We start from the raw sequence: 26050 nt of genomic DNA, 5'->3' as shown, positions 1-26050 counted from the left end.
AAAATATCTTGAGGGAAATTACTTAGCCTCTCTGAAAAATAATAAATCCTCATATTATCCTTAATATCCCTAAAGGGTTATGGGATGTTTTCTAATTCTGCATTACAGATGGAAAAGCAAAGAACTTGGCTAATACTTTCTATTTTCAGGAATGGACTGCCCAGAACTATAGTAATGCTCTTTCCTTTTCAGTTTGTTGATCACTTGGCCTTGTATTTTTTTTCTAATAGTGTGTAGATAAGAAATAGCTGTTCTTAAAATCACTGTGATATAGCACGTCACACCCATAAAGATGGCTGTTAGCAAAAAGACAAGAGATAACACAAGTTGGCAAGGGTATGAAGAAAAGGAACCCCAGTACACTGTTGTGGTGAATGTTGATTGGTGCAGCCACTATGGAAAATAGTATGTAGATTCCTGAAGAAATTAAAAATATAACTACCATACAACCCAGCAATCCATCTTCTGGGTATATATCCAGAGGAGATGAAATCACTGCCTTGTAAATATACCTATATTCCCATGTTTATTACAGCATTATTCACAATAGCCAAGATCTGGAAATAACCTAAATGTCCATTGATAGATGAATGGATAAAGAAAATATGGCATATACAATAGAATTGTATTCAACCTTAAAAAAAGGAGGAGATACTGCCATATGCCACAACATGGCTGGACTTGGAAGACATTAGGCTAAGTAAAATAATCCAGACACAGAAAAAATATATTACATGATCTCACTTATGTGCAGAACATATATATTTTTAAAAGTGCTCAAATACACAGAGATAGCAAATGAAACTGTGACATGTTTGGATCTGTGTCACCAACAAAATCTCTTGTTGAATTGTAATCCCCAATGTTGGAGGTGGGGCCTGGTGGGAGGTGATTGGATCATGGAGGAGGAATACCCCCTTGGTCCTGTTCTCATGATAGTAAGTAAGTTCTCGCAAGATCTGGGCATTTAAAAGTGTGTGGCACCTCCCTGCCTCTTACTCCTGCTCCACCATGTGAAGCGCTGGCTCCCCTTTTGTCTGCCCCATGATTGGAAGCCATGTTCCTGAGGCCTCCCCAAAAGTAGAAGCTATGCTATGCTTTCTGTACAGCCTGTGGAATCTGGAATCATGAGCCAATAAAGCTTCTTTTCTTTATAAATTATCCTGTCCCAGATTTTTTTTATAGTAGTGCAAGAATGGACTAATACATAAAATTGGTACTGAGAGTTGTGCATTCCTATAAAGATACCTGAAAATGTGGAAGCAACTTTGGAACTGTGTAATGTGCAGAGGTTGGAAGAGTTAGGAGGACTCAGAAGAAGACAAGAAGATAAGGGAAAATCTGGAACTTCCTAGAGACTTGTTGAATGGTTGTAACTGAAATGCTGACAGTGATATGGACAGAGATGCCCAGGCTGATGAGGTCTCAGATGGAGATAAGGAAGTTATTGGAACTGGAACAAAAATCACATTTGTTATGCTTTAGCAAAGAGCCTGGCTGCACTGTACCCCTGCTATAGGGATCTGTGGAAATTTGAACTTACAGAGTGATGTTTTAGGGTATCTGGTGAAAGGAATTTCTGAGCAGCAAAGCATTCAAGTTGTAACATGGCTACTTCTAACAACCTATGCTTATGTGAGTGAGCAAAGAAAAGACCTGTAATTGGAAATTCTAATTTAAAAGGGAACCACAGCATAAAAGTTTGGAAAATTTGTAGCCTAGCCATGTGGTAGAAAAGAAAAATAGAAAAGTTTCCTATTTTCAGGGGAGCAATTTAAGCAGCCTGCAGAAATTTGCATAACTAAAAGGAAAATAAGTGCTGATAGCCAAGACAATGGAGAAAAAGGCCTTGAAGGCATTTCAGAGACCTTTGCTACAGCCCCTCCCAACACAGGCCTGGAGAAGTAGGAGGGAAGAATGGTTTTGCGGGCCAGACCCAGCACCCTTCTGCCCTGTGCAGCCTCAGGACACTTCTCTCCCATCCCAGCCGCTCCAGTTCTAGCTGTGGCTAAAAGGGGCCCAGCTTGGGTACAGGTACAGCTTGGGCCACTGCTTGAGAGGATGCAAATCATAAGCCTTGGTGGCTTCCGTGTGGTGTTAAGCCAGCAGGTGCACAGAATGCAAGAGTTGAGGCTTGAGAACTTCCTCCTAGATTTCAGAAGATGTATGGAAAAGCCTGGATGGCCAGGCAGAATTCTGCTGCAGGAGTGGAGCCCTCATGGAGAACCTGTACTAGGGCAGTGCAGTGGGGAAATGTGGGATTGGAGCCCACACACAGAGTCCCCACTGGGGCATTGTCTAGTGGGGTTGTTAGAAGAGGGCCACCATCCTCCAGATCCTGGAATTTTAGATCACCAGCAGCTTGAACTGTGCACCTGGAAAAGCTGCAGACACTCAATACCAGCCAATGAGAGCAGCTGTAGGGACTGAACCCTGCAAAGCTACAGGAGTGGAACTGCCCAAGGCCTTGGGAGCTCACCCCTGACACCAGTGTGCCCTGGATGTGAGACATGGAATCAAGGAAAATTATTTTGGAGCTTTACAATTTAATGACTTCCCTGCTGAGTTTCAGACTTGCATGGGGCCTGTAGCCCCTTTCTTTTGGCCAATTTCTTTCTTTTGGAATGGGAGTATTTACCCAATGCCTATGCCCCATTGTATCTTGGAAGTAACTCACTTGTTTTTGATTTTATAGGCTCATAGACAGAAGGGACTAGCCTTGTCTCAGATGACACTTTGGACTTTGAACTTTTGAGTTAATGCTGGAATGAGTCAAGATTTGGGGGGACTATTGGAAAGGCATGATTGTGTTTTGCAATGTGAGAAGGACATGAGATTTGGAGGGGCCAGGCCTGGAATGAGTTTGGATATGTGTCCCCATCCAAATCTCATGTTGAATTGTAATCCCAATGTTGGGGGTGGGGCCCAATGGAAGCCAATTGAATCATGGAGGTGGATTTCCCCCTTGGTGCTATTTTCATAATAGTGAATCTGATGAGATTGGGTTGTTTAAAAGTATGTGGCACCTTCCCTCACCTTCCTCCTGCTCTGGCCATGTGAAGTGCTGGCTCCCCCTTTGCCTTCTGTTATGATTGGAAAATTTCTAAGACCTCCCCAAAAGCAGAAACTACTATGGTTCCTGTGAAGCCTGAGGAGCCATGAGCCAATTAAACCTCTTTTCTTTATAAATTACCCTGCCTTGGGTATTCTTTATAGCACTGTGAGAGCAGACTAATACAAACTGTTTACCATAGGTGGGGGTGCAGGGAGAGAAAAAAATGGCATAAAATAGGAGATACACAGGATGAACAAGTTTAGAGATCTACTGTGCAACATGAGGACTAAAGTTAATAAAATTTTTTTGTAATAGGGATTTTTTTAAAATAATATTTTAGCTGCTTTTGCACACAAAAAAGTAACTGAGATAATAAATTTATTAATCCGCTTCACTTTAATAACCATTTTACTACTATATGTATCCCATGACATCATGTTGTAAACCTCAAATATACACAAGATTTATTTTTTAGAAAAGAAATAACCCATTCTTTATTCTGAAGTCTTCTATTAGTCACTGCAACTTCTGAGCATACTCTCTGGACTATGTAGAGCTAAATATAAAGTCTAGTTTCTAGTATGTAATATTGTACTTTTATGTCTAATTATTTGATGCCCAACCTATAGGATTACACAGCAACACATGTGATCATGTGATACACTGACATCTGGCTGAGCCACGTAACTAACTATTTGCACAATGGACTGTAAGCAGAAATGCCATACACCATGTCAAGGCAGAAGCATAAGAGCCATAGTAAGCTTCAGCCATTTCTCCCTTCCTCTACCATGACAATGGCTTGTCACCTGGGTCCCAGAATGAGAAGAGAGAGCAGAACAGGAGCTATCTACAGGCTACTTATAACATGGATAAGACATACATCTTATTGTTGTAAGCCAGTGAAAATTTGGAAGTGTTTCTTAAAGCAAACAATCTAGCAAAAGTTGCTACTATACGATTCTTGCCACACTGTCACAGATTTAAAACAAATGACTATTTTAGTGCTAATACATAGAAACAGTTATTCAGCTAGAAATTTAAATAAAAGCTTGATCTTTGCATTTGGACATTGCCATTGGATTTTCAATCTCAATTACAGTATTGTCCAGGTACTTGAATAAAAGATGTGTGTCCCTTTTTAGAAAAAAAAAAAAAAGGTTAAGCTTCAATTTAGTACTCAACTGTAAAAAAGGCAGATCAAGTTCAGTAGACTGTTGGCATTTATGGATTTAAAGTTGACCACTTACAAGTGATTGTTAAATCTGTGACATGTGGTAGTTTGTAATTTTGCTGAGGCATTGATTTAAATAGTATTCACAGTGAACCTGTGGTAAAAGTATGCCTCTGTACATGACACTGGGCTTTGGGAAGTCCTAGTCCAATGGGCTTCTCAAAGGGTAGCCCATGAGCTGGTAGCATCAGTACCACTTGGGAACTTGTTACAAATGCAAACTCTTGGGGGTCACTCCAAACTGACTTAATCAGAAACTACTGGGTTGGGGCCCCACCGTCTGCATTGTAGCCAGCCCTTTTGGTGATTCTGGTGCTTGCTAGAAGTTGTGAACCACTGACTTTGTCATTTTCCATGAAGGCATTTGTTGTTCTGTATACATGTGGTGAGACAAAATTTGGAAATCTGCTCTTTAAAAAGCTTTCCTGTTATTCCTAATGCAGGCAGTTCATTTTCACTGGTTTACATTTTAAAAGATCATACAATAGTGTTTTTCAGGATGTAAATTTCACAATATAAAAGTAGACATTCAGAAAGAGCTTGGTAGACAGCAATGTCAAGGTTCTCCTATACATATAATTTAAGGTGATAAATGAATGTTCATATACTTATGATCATAATACATATTGGATTTTATAAAAGAGCAAAACTACAAATATGGTCCCACAGACTCTCCTGACATTCACAGCAAGGAACAAGTCCATGGTAAAGAACACAAAGCATGAATTTCCAGTCCCTGCTTTTTACAACTGAACATTTTACCTGCCTACTCATCCTATGTTCTGGTGTCCTTGAGACGGAGGAACTAGGAAGTCAGCAGACTGGGAACCAGAAATTTAGAAAATAGCTTTCCCGGGGCAGATGCTTCAAATTAAAACATTAAGATGAAAGTCAAGGTCACGTTGGGAAGAACAGATCTGAATAGAGTGTGGGTTGGGAGGAAGAGGAATCTGCATCTGAGTCTAAAATAGATAATAAGAAGAAGAAGGAGAGAAAAAGAGGACTATTATAAATGACATGTATCAATTTTTAAAAAGACAAAAAATAACAAATGCTGGCAAAAATGTTGAGAAAGGAACACAGACACAGTTGGTGGGAATGTAAATTAGTACAGCCATTATGGACAACAGTATTGACATTCCTCAAAAAATAAAAAATAGAACTACCATATGATCCAGCAATCCCACTACTTGGTATAGAGCCAAAGGAAATGAAATAAGCATGGCAAAGAGATGCCTGCATTCCCATGTTTATTACAGCACTATTCACAATAGTCAAAACATGGAATCGACCTAGGTGTACATCAATGGATGAATGGATTAAAAATATGGTACATATGTATACAATGAAATACTATTTAGTCATGGAAAAGAATGAAATCCTGCCATTTGCAGCAACATGAATTGAGCTGGGGGTCACTATGTTAACTGAAATAAACTAAGCACAGAAGGACAAATACTGCATAATTTCACTCATATGTGCAATTTTTAAAAGTTGATCTCAGAAGCAGAGAGTACAGTGGTAGTGACCAGAAGCTGAGGAGAGTAAGTGTGTGGGATACGGAGTGGTTCACCAATTGGTACAAAGTTATGGGTAGATGGAGGAGTAAGTCCTGGTGTTCTATTGTACAGTAGGATGGCTATAGTTAGCAATAATTTATTGTATATTTCCAAATAGCTAGGAGAGGATTTTGAATTCTATCACCACAAAGAAATGGTAAATATTTGAAGTAGTGGATATGCTAACTCTCCTGATTTGATCATTATACAATGTATTTGTATATGGAAACATCACACTGTACCCCATAAATATGTACAATTATTATGTGTTTATTAAATAAATAAAACAGAAAAAGAAGGAAGACAGGAAGAAAATGAGTTGTCAACCAGTTTGTTTTAATGTCTAACTTCCCATATTTGTGCCAATGTTATGCTCATATTAAATCAGCATCATGGACCATGACCCAGTGCTAGCCTTAAGGTGGTAGAATTATTTCTTATGGTTAGAACTCAAGTGCCATGGGAACAGGAGCCTTGCCAGACTTGTTACCACTCTACTCCAAACACCTGATCAACCAGTGAAGCACAGTGGCAGCTTTACCGTGAAGCTAAGCCTAAGCTCCTTCCCTGCATGGACTACTTTCAATATGCATAATTACGTCATAATTTTGTATTATTTTTCTGAAATAGGATTCCTCAAATGGTATCAGCTTCAAGTTTCATTAAACACGGATCCACCTATGGTAAGAGGCAATAAATTGAGGTGCAATATGCTTGGATGAAGGTACAACAAGGAGAATGAAAAGAGAAATGATTAAATAAACATGTTTAGAAGAAAATCAGCTGTACTTAGTGACTGAATTGTGGAAGGAGGGGGATAAAGAAAGAAAAAGTGAACAATTCTTTTTCTTTAATGGCATTATTAATTTCAAAGATAAGTCATATGTAACAGCAGGATATCTGGATATCAACTGACATATGAAAAGCATGTCAATGACACATTGCTTGCCAAAGTGGAGGAATAGCTAAATGCTACTCTAATTAACTGGATTACAAACTGGGTAAATGACTGTACAGATGACACTGATTAAGAGTTAACATAAATCTGTAAGTTTCTATGGGTGTATCAAATGTCTAGGTCTTTATATCTCTTTTTTAAACATGTTTGTTAATGATTTGGACCGAATTATAAGCATGTACTCAATACATTTACATAGGTGATGTGATTTTGAGAAATCCAGAGGATAAACTAAAAACTTATTAACAAAAGGAGGAAGAAGTAGATTCTAAAGTAGTGTATTGAGATACATGACTTGGCAGCAACATTGTTAAAACTGATTTGAGGTTACAGTTGCCCCTGAGTTCACTTTGTGTCAACTGTGTGATGTTCATCCACAAAAGTTAATGTCATCCTAAACCTACATTAATAGAAATAGTTTCTAAATTCTGCAATGAAAGGAGTGTAATAGCCTCCTTTGGCTCCACAATGCTCATTTCTCTCTTCAGTGTGCTGTTGATATGCTCTGTGTGATGAGAATGGTTCAATTTAACCTGCCAAGGATAAAGCTAGGATGAATATCAACAGATTTAATTTTATTAAAATGACTTTTTAATAGAAATATAAAAGAGAAGTGTAGCAGCAAGTTGTTTGCTGTATGTGTTCAATCATAGGCTGGACAGCCAACTTAGCTAGCATTTTGTTATAAAAATTAAAGCATTAAGCAATTGGTTATTTCATGGACTTTAAGGTATCTTTTTAAACTCAGAGTTGTCAAGATCCTATTACTCTATGACTCCTTGATAATTTCTGTTTCAATTTCAGATTGTTGGTCCAGCTTCTTCTGAGTTGTTCTTTTAACTACCAGTTGAACTGGCAGCCATCCGTAGAATGTTCCCTTCTGTGTTTCCAGTCTCATTTCACAGATTCAAAAGATAAATTCTTATTGAAAATTCATATGCTGTTTATTCTTCTGTTCCAGGAGAATTCTGCTTATTTATCTACAGTAAAGCTTTTAAAAAGTGTAGTTTTTGGGGTTGGGCACCATGGCTCACGCCTGTAATCCCAGCACTTTGGGAGGCTGAGGCAAGCAGATCCCCCGAGGTCAGGAGTTCGACACCAGCCTGGGCAACACAGTGAAACCCTGTCTCCACTAAAAATACAAAAAATTAGCCAGGCACGGTGGCGCACACCTGTAATCCCAGCTACTCAGGAGGCTGAGGCAGGAGAATCGCTTGAACATGGGAGGCAGAGATTGCAGTGAGCCGAGATTGTGCCACTGCACTCCAGCCTGGGAGACAGAGCGAGACTCCGGCTCAAAAAAAAAAAAAAAAAAAAAAAAGAAAGAAAAAAGAAAGTGTAGTTTCTGGCATAATTAAAAGGGCTTAAAGAAATTTTCTTCAGAAACTAAGGGCAATCTGGAGACATCCACGGTGAAAGGCTCATTCAGCTTATAAACAGGAATCTGATGATTCTAGATTTTTCTGCTCCAGTTTTCTTGACAAAGATTGTGCTCACTAAAGTTCTCAGCCAGGTAACTGTTAAATTGGCATTAATAAATTATAACATCAGCTACCTTTTGCCCAAAGAGTTATGTTAGAAAATATTCTCCTAAGGATTGCTTTTCTATCTGATATATAAGCCAAATTTTTACTGTAAAAAAAAAATAAGTTCTTATATTACTGGCATTAGTAGGATCTAGTTAATTTTCTTAAAGATCCATACATAGAAGGGATATTTATTAACAAAAAAGATAGTAGAATTAACTTTAATGAGCAGTTAGTATTATCTAAACATTCTTTTATAAAATAACAAAGAATAGATAATCAAATTTGGTTTAATATTACTATTTCTATAAAAGAGACAACTTGATTCTTCAAAGTAATCACCATAATTAAAGGGAAAAAGCTTTTATTGATTAGTTGAGTTTATTTAAATATTATAAACAGTCATGCAAAAAGGTAAAACTAAAATTCAATATGAGGAATCAACCATCATGCTCAGAAAATAAAGTCAAGGTAATAAATAATCAAGTAAATGTAATTTGAATACCATCATTATGAGAGGTAAAAGACAAAAATATTGTCACCATGTTTGCCATATATTTATCTTTTGTCCTCTCACCTCTTTGTAAACTAAGATTTTCTTCACTACCTCACTGAAGTCTTTGGAGGAAATTCATAAATATGAGAACAATTGACATCTAGATGACTCCCAGAAGTTTATCCTTGCAGCCAAAACTGTCATTACCCTATACAAGAATACCTGCAATCTAAATGGTACTTTCAAAGGAACCAGTAAAGAAAGATAAATTTATTAAAAAGCAATAAGGTTGTACTAAAATGACTCAACTTTAACATTTTCTACTACATCTATCACAGGCAATGAGCAATGGTCTACTTTGTTTTGTAATAACCAACATGTTACAAACTCTGAGGAAATCAATATTTACTTTTATAGAAACAATAACAAGAAAATATGTAGAGCTTTAGGGCCCATTAAAATAACTAAAACAAGAACAAATTGTACACATAGATTTTAAAACTTTATTTTAAGGGTGACTTTTATTATATATCACTGTCATAATCATCATATAATCTTATATTAATCATTATTATGGAACCTAATGTTGCTTTCTCAATTCACCTGTAGTGCGGCAAACCTGATAGGGTTTCTCAGTAATAGAAAGCCTTTTTAGTAAGCAGTCTGATAGACTCTTGCAAAGATAGAGGGTTTATGTTCACTATTCAGTTGAAACTACAGGGTGCAGGGGCCATTAGCAGGGCTCAAGAACATCAGCTAACAAATAAGAGCTGTAGGATTTAGTGAGTCATTCCAGAAGGAGCCACAGATCAATTGAAGTATAAACTGGCCTCACTGCACAAATGCCACCTTCTTCAGGAAGCCAAATAGACATAAATACACAGAATGACATAAAATAGTAAAAAAACTAGGCATCTGAGAAGTCTAATATCCAGAATCTATAAGTAACTTAAATCAACAAGCACAAAACAACCCCATTTAAAAATGGGGGCTAAGGACATGAATAGATATGTCAAAAGAAGACATACAAGCAGTCAAAAAAACATGAAAAAATACTCATCATCACTAATCATCAGAGAATGCAAATCAAAGCCACAATGAGATAACCAAATTATATAAGTCAGAAAATAACAGATACTGGCCAAGTTGTGGAGAAAAAGGAATTCTTATACAGTGTTGGTGGAAATGTAATTTAGTTCAGCCACTTTTGAAAGCAGTTTGGAGGTTTCTCAAAAAACTCAGAGCTACAATTTGACCCAGCAATCCCATTATTGGGTATATAGACAAAGGAAAATAAATCATTCTACCAAAAAGACACATGCACTCATGTTAATTGCTGTGCTATTCACTATAACAAAGACATGGAGTCAGACGTGGAATAAGTGGTGAATTGGATGAAAAAATGTGGTATATATACAACATGATATACTCCGCAACCATAAAAAGGAATGAAATCATGTCTTTTGCAGCAACATGGATGGACCTAGAGATCATAATCCTTATTAATTATAAGTGGTGAGGCAGGCAGATTGCTTGAGGTCAGGAGTTGAAGACCAGTCTGTCCAACATGGTAAAACCCTCTCTCTACTTAAAAAAAAAAAAATACAAAAATTATCCAGGCTAGGTGGTGGGTGCCTGTAATCCTAGCTACTTGGGAGGCTGAGGCATGAGAATGGCTGGAACCCAGGAGGTGGAGGTTGCAGTGAGCTGAGATTGTGCCACTGCACTCCACCCTGGGTGACATAGTGAGACTCTGCCTCAAAAAAAAAAAAAAATCAAGTGGGAACTAAACATTGAGCACCCATCAATACAAAGATGGGAAGAATAGACCCTGGAGACTGCTAGAAGGGGGAGAAAGTGAGGGGGTCCTGGGTTGAAAACTACATATTGAGGATTATGCTCACTACCTGAGTGCAATATACCCATGTAACAAACCTGTACATATGCTCCCTGTATCTAAAAAAAAAAAAAAAAAAAGCCTTTTTTCACCACTCCATCTAAAATAGCCCTTTTGTAGTCATTATCTAGCTCCTTATCCTATTTTGTTTTTTTTTTCCCAGCATTCATCATTGCTGATACTGTGTAGCATATTAGTTGTTTATCATCTATCTCTCCTTCTAGAATGTAAGCTCCCTGAGGATTGGATTATTGTTTAATTTGCTCATGGTCCCACAAGCTGAAACAATAACTGAAAAATTGGTAACTTTCCATAAATATTTGTGAAATGGTTGAAATCCAAGGGAGGTAGACTATCTGCCAATGGATGAAAAAATGAAATCCTCAGTAAAGGCTTTCCTCGAAGACATTTGTGGTACTGAACACCATTTACTCACATACTGCTAAAAGCATGTGAAAAATAATAAAATTTCCGTGAACCCCATTTTCTTTATGTGGAGTAGGTCCAAAAAACCTATAAAGCTTTCTTATGAAAAACAATTGTACTTCAAATTCTGTACATACAGAGTCCAGATATTTTTTGTCTCCTTCTACTGCACTGATTATAAAAAGACCACAACCATCAAGGTTGAAAGAACTAGAAACACACAATCAGAGATATATAAGCAGAATATTCTAAGCAATTAGAATATAGTTATAGTCCATTGCTCCAAAAAGTGAATTAAAAAACAAATTCGGAAATATTCCGGGGATAATTAGCATCAGGGAAATTGAGCTGAATTTAGAAATAAAACATTTATAATACATGAGATTATTTTAATATGTTCATGAAATTTTCTCCATTTATGATTGTGTTAGTGTTATTTATCTTGGCAAAGGAAAGATTTTGAATACTGAAGCAGTAAAAGCAGGAAGCCACAGAAAGCTGTTTACTCCATTACTTAAGTTTTCAGTGGGTTTACACAGTGTTTGGGAGACAAGCAAGCTTCAGAGATTTATTTCATGGGGTCTGGAATTGCAGAGAGAACACACTAAGGAGAACAGTTGAATCTCACATCCTGTGTGGGAGGGAAAAAAAGGCATTTACCTAAAGTAGACATTGCACCAAATACTGAAAGGTTATCTGATAGCAACTGAGGCAAAAAAAAAAAAAAAAAAAAGAAGGTATTCTTGCATTGAAGCAGTTATGGTTTTGAGAGCAATTTGAATTAAAAAACAAAAATGTCTATATTTTCTTTCTGTGAAGTGCCACTAGTGATGTTTTTGTTTTTCTTTCCTATTAGTTGAGCAGTCCTAAAGCACTAGTTGTTAGGGAGAACTTGGTAATAATTGTATTCCCTCAATTTTTATTTAAAACGGCAAATCATTTGTAATATATCATTTTAAAAACAACAACTATGATACACCTTTTAAAGTATAAGATGACCTCAGTTCCTGAGAAAAGGAGTGTTTTTTTGTCAGTACTCAAATATCCTTAATGGCATAAATTGCAGGCTCTGACATGATGACCCATTTTTAAATTGAATATAAATGACAAGCTAGTGTAAGGAATGTAAATTCCCATCGAATCAGCATTACTCTGTTCTGTTTACTTATGCCTTTTAGCATTATGCTTTAAAAACACTGATATCTTTATCTTTTTTTAGTTCCATTTAATTTATTCAGCAATGTGCCCTTTTGTTATGTGTAAGAAATCCTCATTTCTTCTCCTTATCCTATTTGCTTTGCTGTCTTATTCAGTGTTCATGAAACAGCCTTGTTTGTAAAGGAGGTAACCCAAACTGATGTTTGACATGCAGTAGGCAGTTTCTGAGTTCAAATGTTTAACACTTGCTTCTAACATTTTTGCCTTAATAATATTCCCAACTGTATACCAAAATGAGCCTTATATTTAATGTCTAAGGGAAATGGGAAAACCATACTGTGGTATAGCAATATTATGACAAGGCATTATTATTAAAAGGCATTATTCTTAGAGTTCTAACTAGAGAGCACTAAGATCTGCCCATTTTCATACCCAGTGCTTGAGAAGCACTTTGCATTCTTAAAGAACATAACAATGAAACTCGTGCTTTGATTTTGCTCCTTGTCTAATTTTTCAGCCCATTCTAGCTGATTTTAGCATATTGTTTTGTATTTTAGAAGAGTTATTTTTAGTTCAGTCTTCCATTTGACTTCATACATCATTTTTTTCTTCTCTTTTCATTTCCCTGATTTGAAACTTGATCTATTCAAAGGAGGAAATGAAGAAGAATGGTCTTCCAGGTTATTTCCTGAAGATAAAATTCAGCGTCAATTCAAGGAAAGTAAAACTGAGTTTTAATACCCAATTAAGGATTTTGAAAAACACAGCAACTTGAGAACTTGATTTATCAAGCCATTTTACGATGCTTTATTATTCTTCAAGACTAGGTATCTGGTTACTTGCTAATGCTGTGTGGTCTTTGGATCACTGAATGACTTTTGCATTTTATCGTCTGAAGGCTTTGAGAATTATAATTTTTCTACATCACTAACACTTCACATTAAGAGAAACAGCACTATTTATTTTGCTGCTAGGTTTCAAAAAGTATATTTCTTGCATTTTAACCAGGCTAGACACACTTCAAGATGCCATGCAGCTAAGCCCAGGATAGCAGGGCACTGTTCTTTTTCTTTCTTCCTCCCCATCCTCAGCTCTCCCTCATTCCCAACTCTGCCTCTCATTTCCTCAGCAACCTCCTCCACATTCTCACAAAGCAGAGATTAGATAAATAGGACTGTGATACTGCTGTGATACTGGTAAGAGTTCATAACTTCTCGCTGTTGACAACCACATTGCTTAGCCCGCCCACACAATGACACTGGCTTCCTAAGTTCTTGGCTCTGTGGGGTGGGAGAGAGTGTAGGGGGTTTTTTTGTTTGTTTGTTTGTTTGTTTGTTTGTTTGTTTGTTTTGCTTTGTCACCCAGGCTAGTGTGAAGGGTTTTGCTCTGTCATCCAGGGTTTCTCTCTGTCATCCAGGCTGGCATGAAGTGGAATGCAACCTTGGCTTCCTGGGCTCAAGCCGTCCTCCCACCTCAGCCTTCTGAGTAGCTGGGACTACAGGCAGAGACCCCACCATGCCTGGCGTACCTTTTTCTTGTTAGAGATGGGTTCTCACTATGTTGCCTAGGCTGGTCTCTAACTCTTGGGCTCAAGCAATCTGCTGGCCTTGGCCCCCCAAAGTGCTGTGATTACAGGCATGAGCCACGGCACCCAGGAAGGGTAGGTTCTTAAGGGAAAATATTTCCTCCATGTGTGGCAGAAAGTATTCTAGTAAGAGAAGCAGCAGGAAGGGCTATGAGGCAACAGATGAAACACAAAATTAAATGCATAGAAGGATGGAGAAGATGCAGAATGCAGAAAGAAACACGCTGGGGAGCTCATCGGTCTTACGTGGTTCAGAAACATATTTGTCTCCTATCCTTCCCCCAAATCGACAACTCTTGGTCAAAAGAGGGTCAACGAAGATAATTTTTTAAAATAAAATTTCCTTTTCTAGCCTTGGGAACTATTTTCAACATGATTTCAGGGTCAAAATATTAGAATTATTGAAAATTTTAAGTAAATGGTTTATTTTTGTTTTATTATAAAAAATATTGGGTTAAGACAAGTTAGAAATTTTTGAACATTACTAAAGCATGAAATTATACTTCAATATGTCTTAGACATTTTGAAATTGGTGCTTTTGAAGTTTAACCTAGAGATTGAGGTCCCATTAGGCAAAATAAAAGTCCAGTGCTATTTTATCTTGCAAGTGTAAAATTGTTGTACAATTGAAAAAGGACTGGGCTGTATTTCCTCTACTTACTAAAAAGATACAAGTCAAATTACTATATCAGATCCTGAACAATAGAATTTTTGTTTTATTTTTCTCTCTTGCTAGGGGCTGGGAAAAGTAATTCCTTCAACTATTCTTGCATCAATCATTGCTGTTCAATAATGCTTGCAGAGTGAATGACAAAATATGTAAATGATTACTTTCACACCTGAAACATTCTGTCCCTTGTCTCATAGAAAATCATCTGCTTAATAAATTTTTAATTTTTTTTTAGTTTATTAATATTTTAATTAATAAATTTATAAGAAGCTGTTTTTGTAAAACCTGGCTAGCTGATTCTAAAATATATAATACAAATGAAGTAGAATAACTATAATAATCTTAAGGAATAACAAAGTTGGATACTTATAGTACCAGATATTGTGCCAGGTGCCATAAAGCTACAGTAACCAGGACAGAATGTAGGTGCAACAATAGACAAATGGGTCCATGGAACAGAGTAGAGTCCAGAAACAGATCCAAACATATAGAACCTTTTGATTTATGACAAAGACAACAGCGAAATTCAGTGGAGGAAATGATAGTCTTTTCAGTAAGTATACTGAATAAACTGGAATATCTGTATAGAGAAAACTAACCTTGAACCCTACCTTAGCATATATACTAAATTGCTTTGAAATGTATCATACACTTAGATATGAAAGTTAACATAACACAGCCTCTCTTTTTCTTAGCTTGGTTAGGGGCTTATTCATTTCGTATATCTTTCCCAAAGCCAGCTTTTAGTTTTGTTGATTTGGTCGATTGATTTACTGTTTTCAATTTCATTGATTTCTGCTCTATTTTTTAATCACATATTTTCTTCTGTTTACATTGGTGTAATTTGTTCTTTCTCGCTTCCTAAGGCAGAGGCTTATATTATTATCTCTAGATTCTTCTCCTTTTGTAATATCTGCACTCAATGCTACATCCCACAAATTTTGATAAATTGTATTTTCATTTCAATTTAGTTAAAAGTATTTTTAAATTTCTATTCTTCTTTGGTCTATGTGTTATTTAGGAGTGTTTTGTTTACCCTCCAAATACTTTGCAATTTTCCTTATCTTTCTGTTATTGATTTCTAGTATATATTTTACTGTAGCCTGAGATAATACATTATATAATTTCTATTCTTTTAAATTTCTTAAGGTATGTTTCATGACCCAGAATATGGACTATCTTGGTGGATGTTCCATGTAAGCTTGAGAAGAATGTGTATTCTGCTGTTGATATATTAAGGAGTTTATAGATGTCCAGCAGATTCATGATGCTGTTGATTTCAACTATGTCCTTAGGGATTTTTCTGACTCCTGGGTCTGTCCATTTCTGATAGAGGAGTGTTAAAATTTCCAACTATAAGAGTGCATTCATCTATTTTTCCCTGCAATTCTATCAGTTTTTGCCTCACATATTTTGACAGTCTGTTGTTAGGTATATACACTTTAAGGAGTGTTGTCTTCTTGGAAAACTGACCACTTATTATTATGTAATGCCCTTTTTTATCTCTGATAATTTCCTTGCTCATAAGTCTTCTCTGTCTGAAATTAATATAACTACTCCTGTTTTCTTCTTTTGATTAGTGTTAGTATGACATCTCTTTATTCATTTACTTTTAATCCATATATGTCTTTATATTTAAAGTGGATTTCTCGTAAACAACATAGAGTTGGGTCTTGTTTTCTGATCCACACTGACAATCTTGTCTTTTTTAAATTAATTTTATTTTAGGTTCAGGGGTACATGTGCAGGTTTGTTATACAGGTAAATTGCATTTTGCAGCGGTTTGATGTATAGATTGTTTCATCATCAAGGTAATAAGCATAGTACGCAATTCATAGTTTTTCAATCCTTACCCTCCTCCCTCCCTTCACCCTGAAGTAGGCCCCAGTGTTGATTACCCTCTTCTTTGTGTCCATGTGTACACAATGTTTAGCTCCCACTTATAAGTGAGAACGTGCACTATTTCATTTTCTGTTCCTGTGTTAGTTTGCTTAGGATAACAGCCTCCAGCTTCATTCATGTTGCTGTGAAGGACATGATCTCATATTTTTAATGACTGCATAGCATTCCATGGTGTATATATACCATGTTTTCTTTATTCAGTCTACCATTGATGGGAATTTAGGTTGATTCCATATCTTTGCTATTGTGAATAGTGCTGCAATAACATATGTGTGCATGTGTCTTTGTGGTAGAATGATTTATATTCCTTTGGGTATACACCCAGTAATGGGATTGCTGGATTGAATGGTAGTTGTAAGTTCTTTGAGAAATCTCCAAACTGCTTTCCACAGTGGATGAACTAATTTACATTCCCACCAGGAGTGTGTAAGTGTTCCCTTTTCTCTTCAACCTTGCCAGCATCTGTTATTTTTTGACTTGTAATAATAACCATTCTGACTGGTGTGAGATGCTCATTGTGGTTTTGATTTTCATTTCTCTAATGATTAGTGATGTTGAGCATTTTTTCATATGCTTCTGGACCATGTATATGTCTTCTTTCGAGAAGTGTCTGTTCATGTCCTTTGCCTACTTTTTAATGGGGATTTTTATTATTAATTTGTTTAAGTTTCTTATAAATCTGGATATTAAACCTTTGTCAGATGCATAGTTTGCAAATATTTTCTCCCTTTCTGTGGGTTGTCTGTTTACTCTGTTGATATTTTCTTTCGCTATACAGAAGCTCTTTAGCTTAGTTACATCCAATTTGTAAATTTTTGTTTTTGTTTCATTGCTTTTGGCATCTTCGTCATGAAATCTTAGCCAGGGCCTATGTCCAGAATAGTGTTCCTTAGGTTTTCTTCAGGGGTTTTTATAGTTTTAGGTGTTACATTTTAGTCTTTAATCCATCTTTAGCTGATTTGTTAGTATCGTAAAAGGAAGGAGTCCAGTTTTAATCTTCCGTATGTCACTAGCCAGTTATTCCAGCACCATTTACTAAATAGGGAGTCGTTTCCCCATTGCTTGCTCTGTCAGCTTTGTTGAAGATCAGATGGTTCTAGGTGTGGGGCTTTATTTCTGGGCTCTCTGTTCTATTCTATTGGCATATGTGTCTGTTTTTGTACCTGTGCCATGCTGTTTTGGTTACTGCAGCCTTGTAGTATAGTTTGAAGCTGGGTAAGGTGGTGTGCCTTAAGCATTGTTATTTTTACTTAGCATCGATTTGGCTATTCAGGATCTTTTTTGGTTCCACGTGAATTTTAGAATAGTTTTTTTCTATTTCCGTGAAGAATGTCATTGGAAGTTTGATAGGAATAGCATTGAATCTACAAATTGCTTTGGGCAGTATGGCCATTTTAACAACATCTTGCTTCCTATCCATGAGCATGGAATGTTTTTCCATTTGTTTGTTTCATGCCTGATTTCATTCAGCAGTGTTTTGTAATTCTCGTTGCAGAGATTGTTCAACTCCCTGGTTAGCTATATTCTAAGGTATTTACTTTTATGGCTATTGTGAATGGAATTGCTTTCTTGATTTGGCACTCAGCTTGGATGTTGTTGATCTATAGAAATGCTACTGATGTTTGTACATTGATTTTGTATGCTGAAACTTTACTGAAGTTGTGTATCAGCTCTAGAAGCTTTTGGGCAGAGTGTATGGGATTTTCTAGATAAAAAATCATATAGTCTGCAAACAGAGAGAGTTGGACTTCCTCTCTTCCTATTTGGATGCCTTTTATTTCTTTCTCTTGGCTGATTGCTCTGGCTAGAACTTCCAGTGTTATGTTAAATAGGAGTGGTGAGAGTGGGCATCCTTGTCTTGTTCTGGTCATCAAGGGAAATGCTTTCAGCTTTTTCCCATTCAGTATGATGTTGGCTGTAGGTTTGTTATAGATGGCTCTTATTTTGAGCTATATTCCTTCAGTTCTTGTATGTTGAGGCTTTTTAACATGAAGAGATGTTGAATTTTATTAAAGACTTTTGTTCATCAATTGAGATGATCATATGGTTTTTGCTTTTCTTTCTGTTTATGTGATGAATCACAGTTATTGATTTTCATATTGAGGATTTTTGCATCTATGTTCATTAGGGATATTGGCTTGAAGATTTCTTTCTTTGTTGTGTCTCTGCCACTATTGGGTGTCAGAATAATGCTGGCCTCATAGGATGAGTTGAGAAGGAGGCTCTCTACCTCAATTTTTGGGAATAGTTTCAGCAGAAACTGTGGCAGCTCTTCTTTATATGTCTGGTAGAATTTGGCTGGAAACTGTCAGATCCTGGGCTTTTTCTGGTTGGTAGGATTTTTATTACTGATTCGATCTTGGAACTCATTATTGGTGTGTTCAGGTTTCAATTTCTTCTTGGTTCAATCTTGGAAGGCTGTATATTTCTAGGAATTTATCAATTTCTTGTAGGTTTTCTAGTTTCTGTGTATAGAGGTGTTTGTAACAGCTTCTGAGGTTTCTTGTATTTTTGTGGGGTCAGTAGTAATGTCGCCTTTTTCATTTCTGATTGCATTTATTTGGGTCTTCTCTCTTTTTTCTTTTTAGTCTAGCTAGCAGTCTATAAATGTAATTTTTTCTTTCAATAACCAACTTATGGTTTCATTGATCTTTTGTATGGCTTTTCACATCTTAATTTCATTTAGTTAAGTTCTGATTTTTGTTATTTTTTGTCTTCTGCTAGCTTTGGGGTTAGTTTGCTCTTGTTTTTCTTGATTTCTTCAATGATCTATGTACTTAAGTGTGTTTTTGTGGTTGCTAGTGATGGTTTTTTTTCATATTTAACACTCCCTTAAAGACCTCTTGTAAGGCAAGGTGTGGTGTTAGGCTGTGAATTTGAGATCTTTCTACTTTTTTGATGTGGGCATTTAATGCTATAAACTTTCCTCTTAACACTACTTTAGCTGTGTCCCACAGATTCTGGCATGTTGTATCTTTGTTCTCATTAGTTTCAGAGAATTTCTTGCTTTCTGCCTTAATTTCATTATTTACCCAGAAGTCATTCAGGAACAGGTTGTTTAATTTCCATGTTATTGTATGGCTTTGGGTGATATTCTTAGCATTGGTTTCTATTTTTATTACACTGTGATCTAAGAGTGTTGTTGGTATAATTTCATTTTTTTTTAATTTGCAGAAAATAGTTTTATGGCCAATTGTGTGGTTGATTTTACAGTATGTGCCATGTGCAGATGAGAATAATATATATTCTGTTGGTTTTGGTTGGAGAGTTCTGTAGATGTCTTTTAGGTCCATTTGGTCAAGTGTCAAGTTTAGGTCCCAAATGTCTTTGTTGTTTCTCTGCCTCAGTGATCTATCTAATACTGCCATGGGGGTGTTGAAGTCTCCCACTATTATCATGTGGTTATCTAAGGCTCTTTTAAATCTCTAAGAACTTGTTTTATAAATCTGGATGCTCCTGTGTTGGGTGTATATATATTTAGGATAGTTAAGAGTTCCTGTTGAGTTGAACCCTTTGCCATTCTGTAATGCTCTTATCTTTTTGATCATTGTTGGTTTAAAGTCTTGTTTTGTCTGAAATTAGAATAGCAACCCCTGATTTTTGTTGTTGTCTGTTTGCTTGGTAGATTTTTTTCCATTTCTTTACTTTAACCCTATGAGTGTCATTGAATGTGAGATTAATCTCTTGAAGACAGCATACAGTTGGGTCTTGCTTCTTTATCGAACTTGTCACTCTGTGCCTTTTAATTAGGGCACTTAGCCCATTTACATTGAAGGTTAATATTGATACATGTGGATTTGATCCTGTTATTGTGGTGTTACTGGTTACGATGTAGACTTAATTGTGTAGTTGCTTCATATTGTCAATGATCTATGTACTTAAGTGTGTTTTTGTGGTTGCTAGTGATGGTTTTTTGTTTCCATATTTAGCACTCCCTTAATGACCTCTTGTAAGGCAGATCTTGTGGTAACACATTACCCTAGCATTTGCTTGCCTGAAAAGGATCTTATTTCTTCTTTGCTTATGAAGCTTAGTTTGGCCAGATATGAAATTCTTCATTGGAGTTTGTTTTCTTTAAGAGTGCTGAATATGGACCCCAATCTCTACTCACTTGTAAGTTTTCTGCTGGAAGGTCTGCTGTTAGCCTGATGGAGTTCCCTGTGTAGGTGACTTGCCCTTTCTCTCTAGTTGTCTTTAATATTTATTCTTTCATATGAACATTGGAGAATCTGAGGGCTTTGTTTCTTGGGGATGGTCACCTTGTATAGCATCTTGGAGGGGTTCTCTGCATTTCCTGAATTTGAACATTGGCTGCTCTCTTGAGGTTGGGGAAATTTTTGTGGACAATATCTTCAAATATTGTTTTATTTATTCCTTAGATTTCTTGGATTCAGTTTCAACTTTCTCCTGAATCTTGATGATCTTTGTTTCTATCCATATTCTAAATTCTATGTCTATCATTTTGGCCTGGTTAAGAACTATTGCTGGGGAGCTAGTGAAATCATTTGGACTCAAGAAAACACCCTAGCTTTTTGAGTTGCCAGAGTTCTTGTGCTGACCTTTCTGATCTGTGTGGGCTGATGGTCCTTTTATCTTTGAAGTTGCTGTCCTTTGGATTTTTTTTTTAACTTTTATTTTTAGTGCCCTTGAGAGTTTGACTGTGATATCAGGTGGGTTTAGTAGACTATCTTCAATTCTGGAAGATTTCGGGAGACCAAGGCTCAACTCAGCGCTGTTCAGCTGTGTGCTCTAACTCTGGGGCACTGGCAGGGGGTAGGGTGTCAGTTGGGCAGGGTGCTAGCAGGGGTGAGTTTCCAGCACCTGTGCAAGCACTTACTCCAGCAGCAGCAGTGGAAGCAGTGCAGTGGGCTGCCCACACCTCAGTAGGGGTGGACTGCCAGCAAGGGTGGGTGGGGTGGCAGGATGAACTTGCTCTGATGGTTGGTGAAGTGGTGAGGTGTGCACACACATGCATACCATTGGGGATGTGATAGTGAGGTTTGGTTACATGAATGCACTTGCAAAGCAGTGGGAGAAGACCATGGGTGAGTGCATGTGGCAAAGACCCAAGGGGAGGCTGTAGTGGGGGCAGGACGTGTATGAGTCAGAGAAGCTGGAGCTCTCCAATGGTCAGGGATGGTACCAGCAAAGGAGCTATGATGAGGGCACCTGAGAATCACCCTGGTTGTGCATCCAAGGCAGTGCTGTAATTGGGGGTGGGTAGGCTGGTTGTCCAGGAGAGGCTAGGAAACAGGGAACCCCATTTCATAGACAAGATGTTCTTGCTCTGTCCAGGTTCAACAGTCACTCAAAGGCTAGGGACACCTAGAGGAGCTTGGAGAGCGTTGGGGGTTGAGCATTCTTGGCCATGCTCCATTGCAGACCTTCCTGCACCAAACCCTATAGGTTCCACACAGGCTGGAGTCCTGCCCCTGCCATCTCTCTAAACAGCTCTCCCTGCCAGCTCCAGTGTCCATGTGGATGGTGGGCTTTCTGCAGCTAGGATTCCAGAGGTCTGTGGTGAGAGTGAGCCACTCCTCACCTGTTCAACTCACTCCTTCCCCAGGAGTCACTGGAGGCCTGCAGTAGGTCCCAGTGCTTTGCAGCCCCAGCGTTCCCAGCTTCCTCTCCCATCAGTCCAATGTCTGTGTCCTCCCTTGGTCCACTCTCAGTGTTTTCCCTCTGAAGATCTGCTCAAAGTGTGCCAGTCGTCCTGATGTCCTGGTCTTTTGGTAAGAGTTGTTCCTTCTGGCTGTGTCTAGTCAGCCATCTTGGCTCTCTCTCCTGTCTTGATTAGTGTATTTAGACTACTATTATTGATATAGCTGGATTAATATCTACCATATTTGCTATCATTTTCTAGTTATTGTCTTTGTCCTTTTCCCCCTTTTTTTATGTTCTACTCTTCTTCTGCCTTTTGTGATTTAAACTGAACATTTTATATGATTCCATTTTCTCTTCTTTCTTAGCACATCAATAATATTTCTTTTGTTACTTTTTTTTAGCGGTTGTCCTAGAGTTTGCAACACACCTTTACAGCTAACAAAAGTCTGCTGTCAAATAACACTATACCACTTCACAGGCAGTGCAAGTACTTTATTAAAACAAAATATCCCTAATTCCTCCTCATGTCTTTTACATCATTGATGTCATTCATTTCACTTATATATACAATGTAATTATCAAATGCATTATTGCTATTATTTAGAACAAACTGTTATCCATTACATCAATTAAGAATGAGAAAAGTATTTTAGTTTTGCCTCTACTTATTCATTGTCTGATGTTTTTCCTTTCCTTATACAGTTCTAAGTTTTTGAACAATATCAGTTTCCTTCTTTTAGAAAACTTATTTTAAGATTTCTTGCAAGACAGCTTTACTGGCAACATATTCCTTCTCTCTGAGGTGGACTTTTCCCTTTACTTTTGAAGAATAATTTTGCAAACCTTAGAATTCTAGGTTGGTGCTTATTTTCTCTCAAAATCTTAAATATTTTACTCCACTTTCTTCCTATTTGCATGGTTTTTAAGGAGCAGTCAGATATAATTCTTATCTTTGCTCTTCTATAACTAAGGTTTCGTATTCTTCTAACTTCTCTTAGGATTTTTTCACTATCTTTGATTTTTTTGTAGTTTGAATATAATATTCCTATGTGTAGTGTTTTGGGCATTTATTCTGCCTGATGTTCTCTGAGCTTCCTAGATCTGTAGTTTGGTGTCATTTCAGGAGGAAATTCTCAGTCATTATTGCTTCAAATATTTCTTCTGTTTCCTTTTATTTCTTTTCCTTCTGGTTTTCCCATTACATGGATATTACATCTTTTGTAGTTGTTTTACAGTTCTTGGATATGTGTTCTACTTTTTTCAATTTTTTTTTTTAATTTTCAGTTTTAGAAGTTTCTATCGTCACATCCTCGAGCTCAGAGATTCTTTTCTCAGCCATGTCCAATCTACTAATAAGCCCATCAAAGGTCTCTTCATTTCAATTACAGTGTTTTTTATCTCTAGCATTTATTTTCGCTTCTATCTAAGAAGTTCTATTTTCTATTTATATTATTCATCTGTTCTTGCACGTTGTCTACTTTTCTCATTACAGCCCTTAGCTTATTAATCATAATTATTTTTAAAATTTATGCTCTGATGATTCCAACATCCCTGCTGTATCTGGGTCTCGTTCTGATGCTCGCAATGACTGCTCAAACTGTGCTTTTTGCCTTTTAGTGTGCCTTGCATTTTTTTGGTGCTGTTGAAAGGTGGACAAGATGTACTGTGTAGAAGGAACTCTGGTAAATAGACTTTTAGTAATGTGGTGGCGAGATGTAGAAGGAAGAGAAGTGTTGTATGATTACATGATTAGGTTTCAGTTATTTACAGAGCTTGTGCTACTGAATTGTGAGCTTCACAAGTGCTTCTCAGATTGGTATTTTTTTTTCAGCACCGTAGGTAGTTCAGGATAGAAGGGATGGGAGTTGGCTATTTTTCTTCCCCCCAAGTCAGTTAGGATAAAAAAAAAATCATCTTGAGGTCAGGTCTTGTTAAGAACAGAATGCTCTGGTATATTTGAAAATGGTCACTTTTGGGCTGGGCGCGGTGGCTCACGCCTGCAATCCCAGCACTTTGGGAGGCCGAGGCGGGCGATCACGAGGTCAGGAGATCGAGACCATCCTGGCTAATACGGTGAAACCCCGTCTCTACTAAAAATACAAAAAATTAGCTGGGTGTAGGCGCGGGCGCCTGTAGTTCCAGCTACTCGGGAGGCTGAAGCAGGAGAATGCCGTGAACCCAGGAGGCGGAGCTTGCAGTGAGCCGAGATCGCACCACTGCCCTCCAGCCTGGGCGACAGAGCGAGACTCGGTCTCAAAAAAAAGAAAGAAAAAAGAAAAAGAAAATGATCACTTTCTCCCAATTCCCTATCTGTCCTCTCCTGGAGGGTATTTTTCTCTGATATGCATTTTTAGAACCTGGTATAGCCTCTGGAGATAAAGTTCACAAAAGTATGAGTCCTCTCTACCCCAAGCTGGGTCCCCCTGGAGTTTTCATCTCTTAGGCTTGTCCACACTGAGCGTACAGCAATCGGCAAGTCATCAATTACAATTTGGGTTTGCCTTCCCTGGCACTAGTTCCCACAGAGGATTTTGCTCATGGATTTCTGCTCCCTTAAGTTGTGAGTCTCAGTATTCACCTGTCTGTCTCTCCAATTTTGGGGTGCAGTGGTTTGCCCTGTGACCTCACTTCTCTGATGAATCTAAGAAGAGTTGCTGATGTTTCAGTTTGTTCAGCTTTTTACTTACTGTTAGGATGTAGTGAAGACTTTTATGTTTCTTACACGAGGGATCAGGCACCAAAAATCTCTTCACCTTTTATTTCTAGGACTCTGCACTAGAAACTCCTTAGATTTCTCTGACCTCAGCCTCCAAAAGTTCCCCAAAGTTATAATTTTAGCTTTTGTCTCATGCAGACCACTTCCCCATCCTCCAGCAGAAATCTCTTTTACTCACATCAAGTCATATGAAGTTGCCATATGAATGCTACCTCAATTTTTCTTTCTAGTCTCAAACTCACATTCTTCCAGTGTTGCATTCTAACTACCTGTAAGGGAATAAACAACGAATAAATACAAAGGTACTAAAATAATATGGCTGCTCAAAACCTCACCTTGATGTCTTATTAGGGTTATATTTGATATCCCTCCAAACAAATTCTTGCTCTTCTATCAAAACTAAATATTCTGTAATGTTCTTTTACTGTCTCATTTGAATTGCCAGTGTCTCAGTTCAGAAATCTCAGCTATAACTCTGTTGCCATCCTCTTCCTGGTTATTCCACGTTGCATCAGATAATATTTTTGTTTCTTTTTTCCAATCTGCCTCACTGTCATCTTGTCTTTTCCTTTCTTGTTGCTAACAACAACCTCACTTAAATCCTAAACACTTAAAATCTTTGCCTCAGTTGTTGACTTCCTGATAAGTATTTTGGAAAAGGAAAATTGTCTGATTGCTTTGACTCCCCTTATCCTTTTATGTAAGGGTTGTGCTAGTTCAAGTAATAACCTGCTTTTCTTTTTAATTTGCATACTCCTCCTGGGGAAATCTCACTCCCTCCTAAAACAGCATCTAACACCAGTTCTTCAAGTTCTCTTTCGTCAGCCCAGATTCACTCCAATTCCAACATTTTTAAACATTTCCATTTAACTGTCTCACATACATCTCAACTGGCTGGAGAAAAGCCAAATGGCTGGCTGCCTAGAAATCTCCCTGGATGAAATTTGGTGAATGTATCATGATGTGGGACCAGGCCTTAGCTTTTTACATCCATGAACCTGATCTTGTCTAGTGCTCCAAAGTCAACTATATACAGGGAAACCTAATGACCCTAATATGTTTACAAGAGACATTAATTAAATTGCCAGTTTTCTATTTTACAGAAAATATACAAAATTTTTTACACACATCAATATATCTGCAAAACCAATTATCTCTGTGTCTCTGCACTCACCCCTGAAGCAATCGATAAGAGAAGCTGTATGATAAGCAGAAGTAGAACAAAGTGGTAGCTATTCAAGCAGGGCTCTGACCTCACAGAAAT

General features: G+C 37.4%; 1 long non-coding RNA gene across 1 annotated transcript in view; it reads right to left on the bottom strand.

The window, feature by feature from the left end:
• Window positions 1-11638: 11638 nt before the first annotated feature.
• LOC112268136 (uncharacterized) overlaps window positions 11639-26050 on the bottom strand; it is a 55886-nt gene continuing 41474 nt past the window's right edge. The window contains exons 4-5 of the long non-coding RNA NR_169588.1: window positions 24965-25055; window positions 11639-11782 (exon numbers count right to left, since the gene is read on the bottom strand). This is a non-coding gene — a long non-coding RNA (uncharacterized LOC112268136). The remainder of the gene's footprint in view (window positions 11783-24964; window positions 25056-26050) is intronic.

The sequence above is a fragment of the Homo sapiens genome, chromosome 14 (genome assembly GCF_000001405.40).
Source record: "Homo sapiens chromosome 14, GRCh38.p14 Primary Assembly".
NCBI lineage: Eukaryota > Metazoa > Chordata > Mammalia > Primates > Hominidae > Homo > Homo sapiens.
Note: the sequence above shows the minus strand (reverse complement) of the source record. Positions and strands in the feature narration are given on the sequence as shown.